At 55.1% G+C, this 12,795-nt stretch overlaps 1 protein-coding gene across 3 annotated transcripts in view, besides 1 other annotated feature; it reads left to right on the forward strand.

Annotated features, from left to right (window-relative positions):
• OLFM1 (olfactomedin 1) overlaps positions 1–9,702 on the forward strand; it is a 45,680-nt gene extending 35,978 nt beyond the window's left edge. For 2 of the 3 annotated variants that reach the window (NM_014279.7, NM_001282611.2), the window contains exon 6: positions 8,022–9,698. In NM_014279.7, the coding sequence (NP_055094.2) occupies positions 8,022–8,696 (675 nt within the window). In that variant the 3' untranslated portion in view covers positions 8,697–9,698. Of the gene's footprint in view, positions 1–8,021 lie in introns of all 3 variants that reach the window. The other variant, NM_001282612.1, reaches the window with a different exon arrangement.
• Positions 4,469–5,168: an enhancer, noted in NCBI's record as "H3K4me1 hESC enhancer chr9:138007797-138008496 (GRCh37/hg19 assembly coordinates)". NCBI's record gives its function as "activates a minimal SCP1, AML or CMV promoter by ChIP-STARR-seq in primed H9 embryonic stem cells {active_cell/tissue: H9 hESC(primed)}" and the evidence as "EXISTENCE:reporter gene assay evidence [ECO:0000049][PMID:30033119]".
• Positions 9,703–12,795: the final 3,093 nt, after the last annotated feature.

A 12,795-nucleotide genomic window follows, 5' to 3' on the forward strand; every position in this document is an offset into this window, starting at 1 on the left:
CCAGCCCTGACCCCCTGCTTTTCCTAGATCTCGGGGCTGGGAATCTGAACTTTCCTGCCTGTGCTGAGGGTGGGTGTGTTGCGGAGCTTGGGGACATCAGATGTCACCAGTGAGCTCCTGTGTGGGGTCCCTGTGGGTGGCGTGGTTCAGAGCTGGGCACAGAGGTTCGGAGCTGCTCCACACTGGAGTCTGCGTCTCTCTGCTGCCCCTCCCAGCTCTGTGACCTTTAGGATATTCTTTTTTTTTGAGACGGAGTCTTGCTCTGTCGTCAGACTGGAGTGCAGTGGTGCAATCTCAGCTCACTGCAACCTCCGCCTCCCGAATTGAAGCAATTCCCAGGCCTCAGCCTCCCGAGTAGCTGGGATTACAGGCGCATGCCATCACTTCCGGCTATTTTTTTTCTGTGTGTTTTTTAGTAGAGACAGGGTTTCACCACATTGGCCAGGATGATCTCCATCTCCTGACCTCATGATCCACCTACATCGGCCTCCCAAAGTGCTGGGATTACAGGCGTGAGCCACCACGCCCAGCCAGGACATTCTTAACCTTCTGTTCCTTGGGGTCATGATCAGAAAGGGCACACCTGCACAGGGGGCTCTCAGCATACGTTGTGGGGGCAGCACCAGTGGCTCTAATACACCAGGTTTCAGCTCATGGCACACAGCAGCCCGTCCAGCTGTGAATGGAGAGCAGTTAGGTCAGGGAGGGACATGCACTGGCCGCTGATCGCCAAAAGGGCTCCATGGAAAGACGGCACCAGGGGCCACCCGCCCTGTGGGGCTCTCAGTTGGGAGAGGCACCTGCAGAAGAGTCTCTGGTCTCTGCTGTCTAAGGTCCCTGTTCCCTCCAGGCTGCACTGGCCTTCTGTTCCCAGAATGTTCTCTCTGGTCTCCCCTTCCTATGCCTGGGGAACCCCAAGATTCTTCCAGCACGAGGATTTTTGCGTGGAGCCATGGCCCCTCATGAGGTCAGAAGCTTTGGGAGGACAGGGCCTGTGTCCCCAGCACCTGGAAAATAGGAGATGAATGGTGGCCCTTGATGGAGCTTGGGGCCCAGCCTTGGGGCTCTGTGTAGCCAAGACCTGGGGCAGGATGGCCAGCCAGCCATGCACACCTGCTTTCAGGCACCATTCTCCCAGTCGGTGGGTGACCCGTCCACCCAGTCCGCACAGGGCCACTCTTGGGCGGGCGTCTCCTGGGCCGCTGTGGATGCCTTGACCCTGGGAGAGCTCAGCAGCAAGGGCTCGTGTGGACACCGTGGTGTCCTGGGAGGATGGCGGCGTGAGAGCTTGCCTTCTGCAGGGGCACAGACGGACCACCACATGGGGCCGCCAAGTGAGATTGGGACAAGGTCCCTGAGGGGGAGAAGGAAGGGGGATGAGAAGAGGCCATGGCAGGAGGGAAGAGGGCATCACTGGGGGCATCCAGCCAGGGATGAGCAGGTGCGGGGAGCTGCTGTCTCCTTCATAGATGGAAGCCACTTTGTGGCGTGGGGGAGGGCAGCCTTGGGAACCTGGGTGGAAGCAAGCTGTGTCGGGGTCAGGGCAGGCTTTGGATGTGCTGTGTGCAAGATCCAGACCAGCGTGCACGCTTCCTAATGCACAGAGCATGTGGCAGCTGGCACAGCTGGCCATGTGACCCTGAGAGAGGCCTTCCTTCTCTCTGGGCCTCTCTGAAGTGGGGATTTGGGGACGGGGTCCCTAAGCCTCTGTGACTCTGTGGAGGGATGGGTGTCACGGCCTGTCTTGCTGCATCCTGGGCTAGTCCGGAGGCCAAGCCCCCTGTGGTCTCGGTTTTCAGATGGGCTGACCCTACCGCCACGTCCCCACAGGTGGTCTTATGGCCTTCTTCCTTTGGGTGGTGCCTGGGCCTGATGAGCTCCAGCAGGCTCTGAGGGCCGTGTCTAGCCTACCCAGAACCACCAAGCCCACTCGAGTCCCGGGCTAAGGACATAAATGATGATAGCTGGCATTTATTGAACCACTACAGGTGGCAGGTCCTCACAGGACCTATTTTACAGCAGAGGGAACTGAGGCACAGAGAGGGGTGGAAACTCCCCAGGTCTCGCTGGAGACTGGCGGTGGCTGGCGGTGGAGGCGCTTCTTGGTGCCGCATTAACAGGAGTCCAGCCACGTGGACACCCCTCACTCTGTGGGATCCACAGAGCAGTGCCTGGGAGGCCAGAAAGCTTTGGCAGACCCACGGTGTGCCCTGAGCTGAGTGGGGGTGCTGGGTCACAGTGAGGCGGCAAGGCCTCCCCTCCGGGCTCACGGTCAGGTGGGAGACACATGCCCGATGCCCCAGCACACGGGTGTGGAAGCCCAAGAGGTGCCCTGTGGCTGCTGCAGGAGCTCCCACAGCCTGGGGGGCACCACAGGGGCTCACTGTCACCCAGTGCTGGAGGCTGGAAGCCCCAGACCAGGGCGCCTGCAGGGCTGCGCTCTGAAGATGCCAGGGGAGGACCCTCCTGCCTCGTCTCGTGGCTCCATGTGTTCCTGGCTGTGGCTGCATCACTCCAGTCTCTGCCTCCGTCTTCACATGGCTCCTCCCTGTGTCTGTGTCCCCTCTTCTGTCTCTTATAAGGACACTTGTCACTGGATTTAGGGCCCACCTTCATCCAGGACCAGCTCATCTTGAGATTCTTTTTTTTTTTTTTTTTTTTTTTTTTTGAGACAGGGTCTCACTCTGTTGCCCATGCTGGAGTGCTGGAGTGCAGTGGTGCGATCTCGGCTCACTGCAAGTGATTCTCCTGCCTTAGCCTCCCGAGTAGCTGGGATTACAGGCACGTGCCACCATGTCCAGCTAATTTTTATATTTTTAGTAGAGACGAGGTTTCACTGTGTTGGCCAGGTCTCGAACTCCTGACCTCGTGATCCGCCCACCTTAGCCTCCCAAAATGCTGGGATTACAAGCGTAAGCCCCCATGCCCAGCCGAGATTCTTAATCCTATCTGCAAAGACCTTTTTCCCAAATAAGGTCCCATTTGCAGGTCCCAGGATGTGGACCTATCTTCTGGGGGCCACTATTCAGTCTACTATAAGAGTGGACACCTGCCTGCCTGGGGGTACAGGGGTTTAGGAAATACCTCCCAAGGGGGTGAGTGTGGCCTGGGGCAGGGATGGGGACGGGGTGGAGGGGCAGCTCCCGCAGGCACAGAGGCAAGAGTTGGTAGGTCTGGGACTGAAGGATGTGACTGGGCAGCCTGGGGAGGGAGGGAGGGGCTGGCTGGGCAGCAGAGTTTGGAGTTTGGGATCAGAAAGGGTGTGTACAGGGGACTGGGTAAGGGACAGGCTGGACCGGCATTCTAGAAGGTTCACACAGGCCACACCAGAGCTGCAGAGGCCAGGAGGGAGCTGCCAGCACCACTGAGGAATGAGGCAGCGGGAACCAGGCCCCAGACACGGATTATTCCCATGTGCATGGGGAATAGCCCTCTTCGCACGCGGCACAGTGTGGACCCCGGAGCTGATGTCATCCAAGCCCCCCACCCACCCCTGCTCTATGGCAGGAAGGATGAGGCCAGGCAGGAACAGCAAGCTTCTCCCTGCAAATGCGTCTGCCCTATTTGGGACAATTTCCCCGCTGGAGCTTGACACACACAGATCCTTTCCTCAAGACCGCTAGGGCCACAAAAGGTCAAGGGTGAATGTACTTCTTTGTAATTCAGCCCTGCTAGGAAAGAAATATCCTCTATTGTGGGAGCCACCGAAATCTTCAGCCAGGGGTGCCATCTTCACCTTCCTACACATTCACCACTCAGGTCTGCAGCTTCAGGCCGAGCCTTCAAACCCACGTCCACATCCAGGTTGCATCCTTCGGAAGAGGGAGGAGGCCGGCGAAGCCTTACCTGGCCAGGCCCCACTTCCCCAGCACAGGGACGAGATTGCTTGCCCAAGGTCAGCCCTGATGGGTGACGCAGGGACAGAGGGTTTGCCCTCCAGGTTCCCCTGGGGGCAGAAAGGATAAGTGGACGGAGGGAAATGGGCCGTTTACCTGGCAGGTTCATGGCATGGACAGCAGCGCATCAGGGCTGGGGCTTTTCAGCCTCACCCACTGACGTGTGGGACCGGATCATGCCTCGTTGCAGGGGGCTGTTGGTGTGTGGGGATGGGTAGCAGCACCCCTGGCCTCTGCCCCTAGATGCCAGCAGCACTTTCCCCACTTCCCAGTCAAGACAATCGAACTGTTTCTGGGCATGTGCAGTGCCCCCAGGGCAGATCACCACTGGCCAGATTGGTGGTTTCAAGCTCAGGGTTTGGAGTCCCCTCTTGACTCTGACCACTGGAAAGTCACCAAACCTCCCTGGCCTCCATTTTCTAGTCTAAAAATGGGGCGATCACGGCTCCCTGGGTGCACGGGCTCATGTGATAATTGAAGGCAAGAGATGATGCCAGCGTCCGGCACAGTGAATGCCCTGAGTAACGGCACACAAGTGACCTGGCATCCAGGCAGCCTGGTTCCGCTCTTGGCCTTTTGCTGGGTGCCCTTGGGTCTTTTTGGAAAGAACGATAGGTCCTGCCCGGAGGCGCAAGTGCTCAATCTCCCTAAAAGCCGGTACTGTATTTGGGGCCGCCTCCCCAGAGAGGAAGCTAGCAGGCATTGATGGAATTTGATCTGAGCCTTGGGACTTGGAGAAAGGGGAAGAAAAAGGCCTTTCAGATGAGAACATTGAGGGAATGAACTCAGAGGAGGGGACCTACTGTGAAGCACGGGGCTCCTTATCCCAAGGCCTGTGGGGTTCTGAGTGCCTCTCTTTGCATGGGTGCCTTCCCATTGGCAACTGGATCTCAGCCTCGAAGGAGTTTTTACCCCACAGAAACTGGCAAACGCTCAGAGCGGCCTCCCCTGAACCCTGCCTGAGCCTGTGCACCGTGTGCCGATTCTCCCTCCCACCCCCAATTACATCTTCAGAGTGCGGTATCCTGTGTCATTTTGCTGGTGTACTGGAAGAGAAGGTGATTTAAAAATCCTTAGCAAGTTGATGCTGGTGTATCCCCCTTCTGCCCATGGGAAGGAGGCTCTGGACCCAGGGTACAGGGGTGAGTCACCCTGGGTCCCCGCGATCAAGGGCTTGTTTGTGGGGGTGATGTGTGAACACAGTCAAAGGTGTTCTGTGTGCTGCGATGGCAGGGGTGGTTCCCCTCCAGGCAGGTCAGGAGAGGGCTTGGGGAGGAATGGTATTAGATGTGAGTTTCAGAAGCAGTGAGCTCCCTGTCTGATGAGATAGCCAAGCAAAGAGGGGGCAAGAGGGCAGCTTTGTGGCAGTGTCATTAAGGGGGTTTCAGCACATGGCCCCGTTCCCTCCAATACCCCTCCCGGTTCTAATCTGTGACCCACATCATTGAGGTTTGGTCTGTGGGAGGCTAAGGATAATAGCCTCAAATGAGGCCCAGCTGAAAAAAAAAAAAAGATCTCATTAAAAACAAAAAGCACATCTGCTTGTAAGTATCGAATGGATGTCTTGAGAAGAAGGTTATAATTTTTTTTTAATTTTTAGCGCGTGTGTAATGCCAAGTCTGAAAGCTCCCTCATCCTTAGTCTCCTGCAGCTCCAGAGCCCTCGACGGATAAAGCAGCTGTCTCATTGCCAGACAGATGCATGCAGAGCGGCACCAGCCTGCCAGACTCCCTCTGCCTAACTGCGTTGCTTTCTAATTTGCTCCCACATTGGTTGAAAATGACTAAAGCATTTTGCGCAAAGTCCAGACAGTTCTCAAGTCAACTGGCATTTCATCGGAAATCTCTTCTTCTGTAACCCCAAACTTGGGCCATTACTGGGTTTGCTATCTTGGTTGCTTTCGACAACCAGAGGCTTCTTCAAAGCCCATATTCTTCTCGGAGAGGCACTTTTGCTGGATTAGGGGTGACAATGAGTGATTACACTCACAGCATCCCAAATGCCAAATTAATGACATTCCGCCCTGCAGACAGGATGACTCAGTCCGTGCCGCAGCGATGGCTTGGTGGGAGGAGAGGCCTTGAGCGTGGTGTCTTGTTGGGATATGGGAGCTGGCCCGCCCCGGTGACTTTGAGAGTCGATCCTCACTGCAGACAACAGCTGCCTGGGGCTGTGAGCATTTGCCCTCGGCTAGGCCAGGTGGCTGTGCCCCTTCGAAGGCCCCCTTCAGCCCTGGGTTCTGTACTGAAGGAGCTCCTTTCTTGCACACGTGTGTATGACCCCCACTATGGGCCAGGCCCCTGGCTAGGGGTATGGCAGTGAACAGATAGGTGCAGCTGCTGCCCCACAACCTGGTGTCATCCCAAGCAAGCAGAGGGCAGGATTAGGGGCGAATGGCTGCACGTATACGCCTGTGTGCTCCCATCCCACCTTCCTGCTAGATTCTTTCTTCAAACTGGGCCTGTGTGTCCCATCCCAAATTCCCACTAGATCCTTTCTTCAAACTGTGTGTTCCCATCTCACCTTCCCACTAGACCCTTTCTTCAAACTGGGCCATCCTTTCTCTGATAGCACAATAGCTGTGTCTCCTTTTGAGGAGTGTGCTGGGTTTGGAGGTAGGACGTGGCACCCTTTGGTTGTGACTACTCTTTCCTGGCTCTCTGGGTTTGGAGGGAGGACATGGCACCCTTTGGTCGTGACTACTGTTTCCTGGCTCTTTCAGCTCCTTCTCCTGAGGTCCAGGAAATTCCAAGTCGGGGAACAGCTTCCCGCCCAAGGAACAGCTTTCCACACAAGCCTGTTCCACCCCACTTTGGAAGTGCTCGCCGGGTCTTTGGAAGTGCTCACTGGGTCTTTGGAAGTCCTCACTGGGTCTTTGGAGTACTCACTGGGTCTTTGGAGTGCTCACCGGGTCTTTGGAGTGCTCACCAGGTCTTTGGAAGTGCTCACTGGGTCTTTGGAGTGCTCGCTGGGTCTTTGGAAATGCTCACTGGGTCTTTGGAGTGCTCGCTGGGTCTTTGGAGTGCTCGCTGTGTCTTTGGAGTGCTCGCTGTGTCTTTGGAGTGCTCACCAGGTCTTTAGAGTGCTTACTGGGTCTTTGGAGTGCTCACTGGGTCTTTGGAGTGCTCGCTGGGTCTTTGGAATGCTCGCTGGGTCTTTGGAATGCTCGCTGGATCTTTGGAAGTGCTCACTGGGTCTTTGGAGTGCTTGCTGGGTCTTTGGAAATGCTCACTGGGTCTTTGGAGTACTCACTGGGTCTTTGGAATGCTCACTGGGTCTTTGGAGTACTCACTGGCTCTTTGGAGTGCTCACTGGGTCTTTGGAAATGCTCACTGGGTCTCTGGAGTACTCACTGGGTCTCTGGAGTGCTCACTGGGTCTTTGGAGTGCTCGCCGTGTCTTTGGAGTGCTCGCCGTGTCTTTGGAGTGCTCGCCGGGTCTTTGGAGTGCTCGCCGGGTCTTTGGAGTGCTCACCGGGTCTTTGGAGTGCTCACTGTGTCTTTGGAGTGCTTACTGGGTCTTTGGAGTGCTCGCCGGGTCTTTGGAGTGCTCTCTGTGTCTTTGGAAGTGCTCACTGGGTCTTTGGAAATGCTCGCCGGGTCTTTGGCATGCTCGCCGGGTCTTTGGAGTACTCACTGGATCTTTGGATTACTCACTGGATCTTTGGAAGTGCTCACTGGATCTTTGGAAGTGCTCACTGGGTCTTTGGAGTGCTCACCGGGCCTTTGGAAGTGCTCACCGGGTCTTTGGAGTACTCGTTGTGTCTTTGGAGTGCTCACCGAGTCTTTGGAGTACTTACCGGGTCTTTGGAGTACTCACTGGGTCTTTGGAGTGCTCGCTGTGTCTTTGGAGTACTCACTGGGTCTTTGGAGTGCTCACTGGGTCTTTGGAAGTGCTCACTTGGTCTTTGGAGTACTCACTGGGTCTTTGGAGTACTCACTGGATCTTTGGAAGTGCTCACGGGGTCTTTGGAGTGCTTTCTGGGTCTTTGGAGTGCTCACTGGGTCTTTGGAGTGCTCAGTGGGTCTTTGGAGTACTCACTGGATCTTTGGAAGTGCTCACTGGGTCTTTGGAGTACTCACTGGGTCTTTGGAAGTGCTCACCACCGGGTCTGCTCTCTCCACAGGTGTGGTACATGGACGGCTATCACAACAACCGCTTCGTACGTGAGTACAAGTCCATGGTTGACTTCATGAACACGGACAATTTCACCTCCCACCGTCTCCCCCACCCCTGGTCGGGCACGGGGCAGGTGGTCTACAACGGTTCTATCTACTTCAACAAGTTCCAGAGCCACATCATCATCAGGTTTGACCTGAAGACAGAGACCATCCTCAAGACCCGCAGCCTGGACTATGCCGGTTACAACAACATGTACCACTACGCCTGGGGTGGCCACTCGGACATCGACCTCATGGTGGACGAGAGCGGGCTGTGGGCCGTGTACGCCACCAACCAGAACGCTGGCAACATCGTGGTCAGTAGGCTGGACCCCGTGTCCCTGCAGACCCTGCAGACCTGGAACACGAGCTACCCCAAGCGCAGCGCCGGGGAGGCCTTCATCATCTGCGGCACGCTGTACGTCACCAACGGCTACTCAGGGGGTACCAAGGTCCACTATGCATACCAGACCAATGCCTCCACCTATGAATACATCGACATCCCATTCCAGAACAAATACTCCCACATCTCCATGCTGGACTACAACCCCAAGGACCGGGCCCTGTATGCCTGGAACAACGGCCACCAGATCCTCTACAACGTGACCCTCTTCCACGTCATCCGCTCCGACGAGTTGTAGCTCCCTCCTCCTGGAAGCCAAGGGCCCACGTCCTCACCACAAAGGGACTCCTGTGAAACTGCTGCCAAAAAGATACCAATAACACTAACAATACCGATCTTGAAAAATCATCAGCAGTGCGGATTCTGACATCGAGGGATGGCATTACCTCCGTGTTTCTCCCTTTCGAGCCGGCGGGCCACAGACGTCGGAAGAAACTCCCGTATTTGCAGCTGGAACTGCAGCCCACGGCGCCCCGGTTTTCCTCCCCGCCCTGTCCCTCTCTGGTCAAACAACATACTAAAGAGGCGAGGCAATGACTGTTGGCCAGTTCTCACCGGGGAAAAACCCACTGTTAGGATGGCATGAACATTTCCTTAGATCGTGGTCAGCTCCGAGGAATGTGGCGTCCAGGCTCTTTGAGAGCCATGGGCTGCACCCGGCCGTAGGCTAGTGTAACTCGCATCCCATTGCAGTGCCGTTTCTTGACTGTGTTGCTGTCTCTTAGATTAACCGTGCTGAGGCTCCACATAGCTCCTGGACCTGTGTCTAGTACATACTGAAGCGATGGTCAGAGTGTGTAGAGTGAAGTTGCTGTGCCCACATTGTTTGAACTCGCGTACCCCGTAGATACATTGTGCAACGTTCTTCTGTTATTCCCTTGAGGTGGTAACTTCGTATGTTCAGTTTATGCGATGATTGTTGTAAATGCAATGCCGTAGTTTGGATTAATAAGTGGATGGTTTTTGTTTCTAAAAAGAAAAAAAAAATCAGTGTTCACCCTTATAGAGACATAGTCAAGTTCATGTTGATAATAATCAAAGGAATTACTCTCTTCTTGTTAAATTAGCTAAATCATGTAACCGCAGATAGGAAGGGCTCGCCTGGGGAAACTCTGGTTTCCGATGGGACAGGAAAGTCATACGGGCAACAGTATGCGGAAAGTACGTTTTTTAAGTAAAAAACAAAGGCAAACTTTGTACTATCCAGTTATCTAAGGAACAATAAAAACATTAGGAGATCTTTTTGCTTCACTTGTCATTTCTGAGAGTTTTAAAAATGACCGAGACTTCCAGGTCCTTGCAGACGGATTCCTGGGTTTGAGTGGCCCTTTGAGAAAGGGAAATAAATCCTTTCTTTCGGAAGAGGGCAAGGACAGGTCCCTGTTGGATCTCCAACCTCCCATCCCCCCAACCTGGAGAAGCAGCTTAGAATCTACCCGCCACCTCTTAGGTGACTCTGGGGCGCTACTCCAACTTGGGGCTGTGCACCAGGGACTCCACCCACACCCCATCTCCACCCTGCTGTCCCTCCATAGACACCACTGGAGGGGGCCTGGGGCGGCACCCACTTTAGTCAGCACTGGCATGGTGGGCAGAGACCCTGCTGAGGAAAAGTTCACTCATCTAGGGCTGCAGCAGGCACTGGAGATAAGTGACAGCCCTCTCTGGGACCCGTATCTCCCCAGGCCTTGGAAACTATGGCCGGGTGTGTGCAGCCCTTGGCAACCCTGAGGGGCCCAGGGCATCACATGGGCTAGATCCTGGGAGCTTCGTGAGGCCCCTGCCACTCAGCAGGCCCTGAGGTCTCTGCAGGACAGGCCACAACTCAATGTTTGGAGTCTTTCTGGAATATACTGGCACTTCCTGTCAGCCAGAGAAGGAAGAATGTCAGAGTAACTCCCTCACAACGTTCCTGGCACCAACTTGGCAGAAGAGGGCTGCTCGTCTGGGTCCCCAGGTATAGTGTGAGGTTGGGAGCCACCCTGCTCTCACCTGCCCTCTGCTTGGGGGCAGCTGGCACCCCCAGCAACGTGGGTGGCAGGGCAGTGATGTGGGTCATTGGGGAAAGCCAGGCAACCCTGTGAGCCTGGCCCAGTGGCACCTGCTCAAACCAGTGAGTGGATGAGCTTCCAGCATTTCCATCATTTGTCCTGGAAAGACAGCCAGCCGGGCGGTACCCAGGTGGAATCGTGGATGGCGCAGTCAGACAAAGCTGACGTCTGTAGTAGCCAGTGGAACCGAGTCCAAGAATGTCTGAGAAGGTGCGACACCAGCTCCTGAAACCACACAGAAGTTGGGGCTGCTGAAAGAGTGAACCGGTCAGGGAAGGTGGCAGCTGGGGACATTTGGGGACCATGTCTAGCTCCCTTGTTACCTGGCCCTGGACAACAGTTAGGAAAATACGGGATGACAAATAGGGCACAGGTGAGCCCTAACCCACTGGGTGGGAAGGGAAGGAGAAGCCAGCATCTGCGGAGAGGTGCAGAGCCCAGCTCCCAGTCGCCATGGCCATCAGCCGCTCGTGGAGTCGAAGTCTGCCCCAGGTCCCTTCCTCCTGGCCGCTAGGGCCATGTTTCTACAGTGGGTTGGGTGGGCCAGTGATGCCCCAGTCCCAAGCTGCCTAGAACCCCATGGCAGGGGCTCAGTGCCTGTCTGTGCCCTGCACACGCCTCTCCCAGTCGGGGTGGCCACTTCCCATCTGCTCTCCTAGGCCCCACCCGCCCCAAGCCTCTCGCCTGCCCTGCCTGCCCTGTGTGCCCTTCTGTCCCCGCTCTCTGCCTTCCCCAGGGGCCAGCTCAGGGGCCATCATTTTGGGAACGACTCCTTCTCACCTCCAGGGAGCATTCCTCCTTGGCCTGCGTTCCTCCAGGCCTCCGTTCTCCCGTTCCCTGGCTCTCACCAGCCCCTGCATCCAGCATCTATGAGTCTCTTGCACCTGACATGACATGTTCTTTGGGATTTGAGGGGGATTTGGGGGTATCCAAAATAGGTGAATTTCCAAACCCAAGACAAAAAAGCCCGATATTTGGGAGGGAGTGGGGCAGAAATGCCTAATCCATAACTACAGCCTCACTGGCAGGAAAGCAGCGCTCACACGCCACTGCGGAGTGCACTTTCAGTGAGGACTTTCAGGGCTGGAGGCACGTTTATACTTTTCTGTTTACAAATTGTCTCAGAGCGCGGTGGCACACAAAATGCCCCCTGCAAGACACAGGAGTGGATATTCAGAGAAAAGCCCTGAGTTTCCATCAAGCCATAACTCAGTCTAGCAGGCCAATGAGTTTACCCCGACGAGACAGAAACCTGTCCAAGCACAATCAAGTGGGAACTATTCTATAATTACAGGCTGTGATTACGGGCTGATTTCCTTGTAATCTCCCCTTAGTGACATAGTAAAAAACAAGCATTCAAATATCTGTTCTGAGTCACCAGAAGACAAAATAATGACCTGACAGGTCCAGAATGGATTTGCTGTCTCAGGCTGAGTATTTGCTAGGGAAAATATTCCTCCAGGATATTACATACACAAGAAAAATGGTTCTACCCAGAGAGCAAATAAAATAACCAGGCTGCCATTAAATCTCCCAGATTCCAATAACCGAGTATATTGGCTGATGGTGGAACATCTGTGGATGAATTTTCTTTATTAAAAGTTTGGCCCAGAGTCCATATCTGGCAGTTATTCGCAATACACAGAGGCCAGAGCAAGAGACAGTTCTGTTTGCAGCTGGGTCTGAAATTCTCCTAATTTCCAGAGGGAAGCCTGTGACTGTTGGTCCCACAGCTCCCCATCGAATCCTCCCCTGGCCCTGTCAGAGCTGCAGGTGCTCAGGTAGCACTTGGTGGGGGAAACAGAAGATGTGGGCGGCTCTGCTCTCTGAACCAGTGAGCAGGAGGGGTTGGCTCTGGGTAGGCGGCTCTGGGTGAGGTGCTCTGTCTCAACAATCCTTGGGAAGTGCTGGGTGGACAGCCAGTGCCCAGCTCTGTTCTTGGAAGGGATCCAGAAATGAAAGGCACTGTTATTTCCATAGCTGAACACTCTGGAACAGCCAACAGTCAGCAAGCCAGGTGACGTCGGGGCAGGTACTGAGCACAAACGGGCCCATTGTCTCAGCCCGAGGGACTCTTCAACCCAGAAACCCTTAGGTCATCTAGTCGTAGTCCATAAAGCTGTGGAGTGTGAAAATGTTTTTTATTGGAACATTTCACCTAATTCCCTTTGAAAGCAGCAAGTGGGCTAGGCACAATGGCTCATGCCTGTAATCCCAGCACTTTGGGAGGCTGAGGCGGGCAGATCACAAGGTCAGGAGCTCGAGACCAGCCTGACCAACATGGTG

The sequence above is a fragment of the Homo sapiens genome, chromosome 9, assembly GCF_000001405.40.
Source record: "Homo sapiens chromosome 9, GRCh38.p14 Primary Assembly".
NCBI lineage: Eukaryota > Metazoa > Chordata > Mammalia > Primates > Hominidae > Homo > Homo sapiens.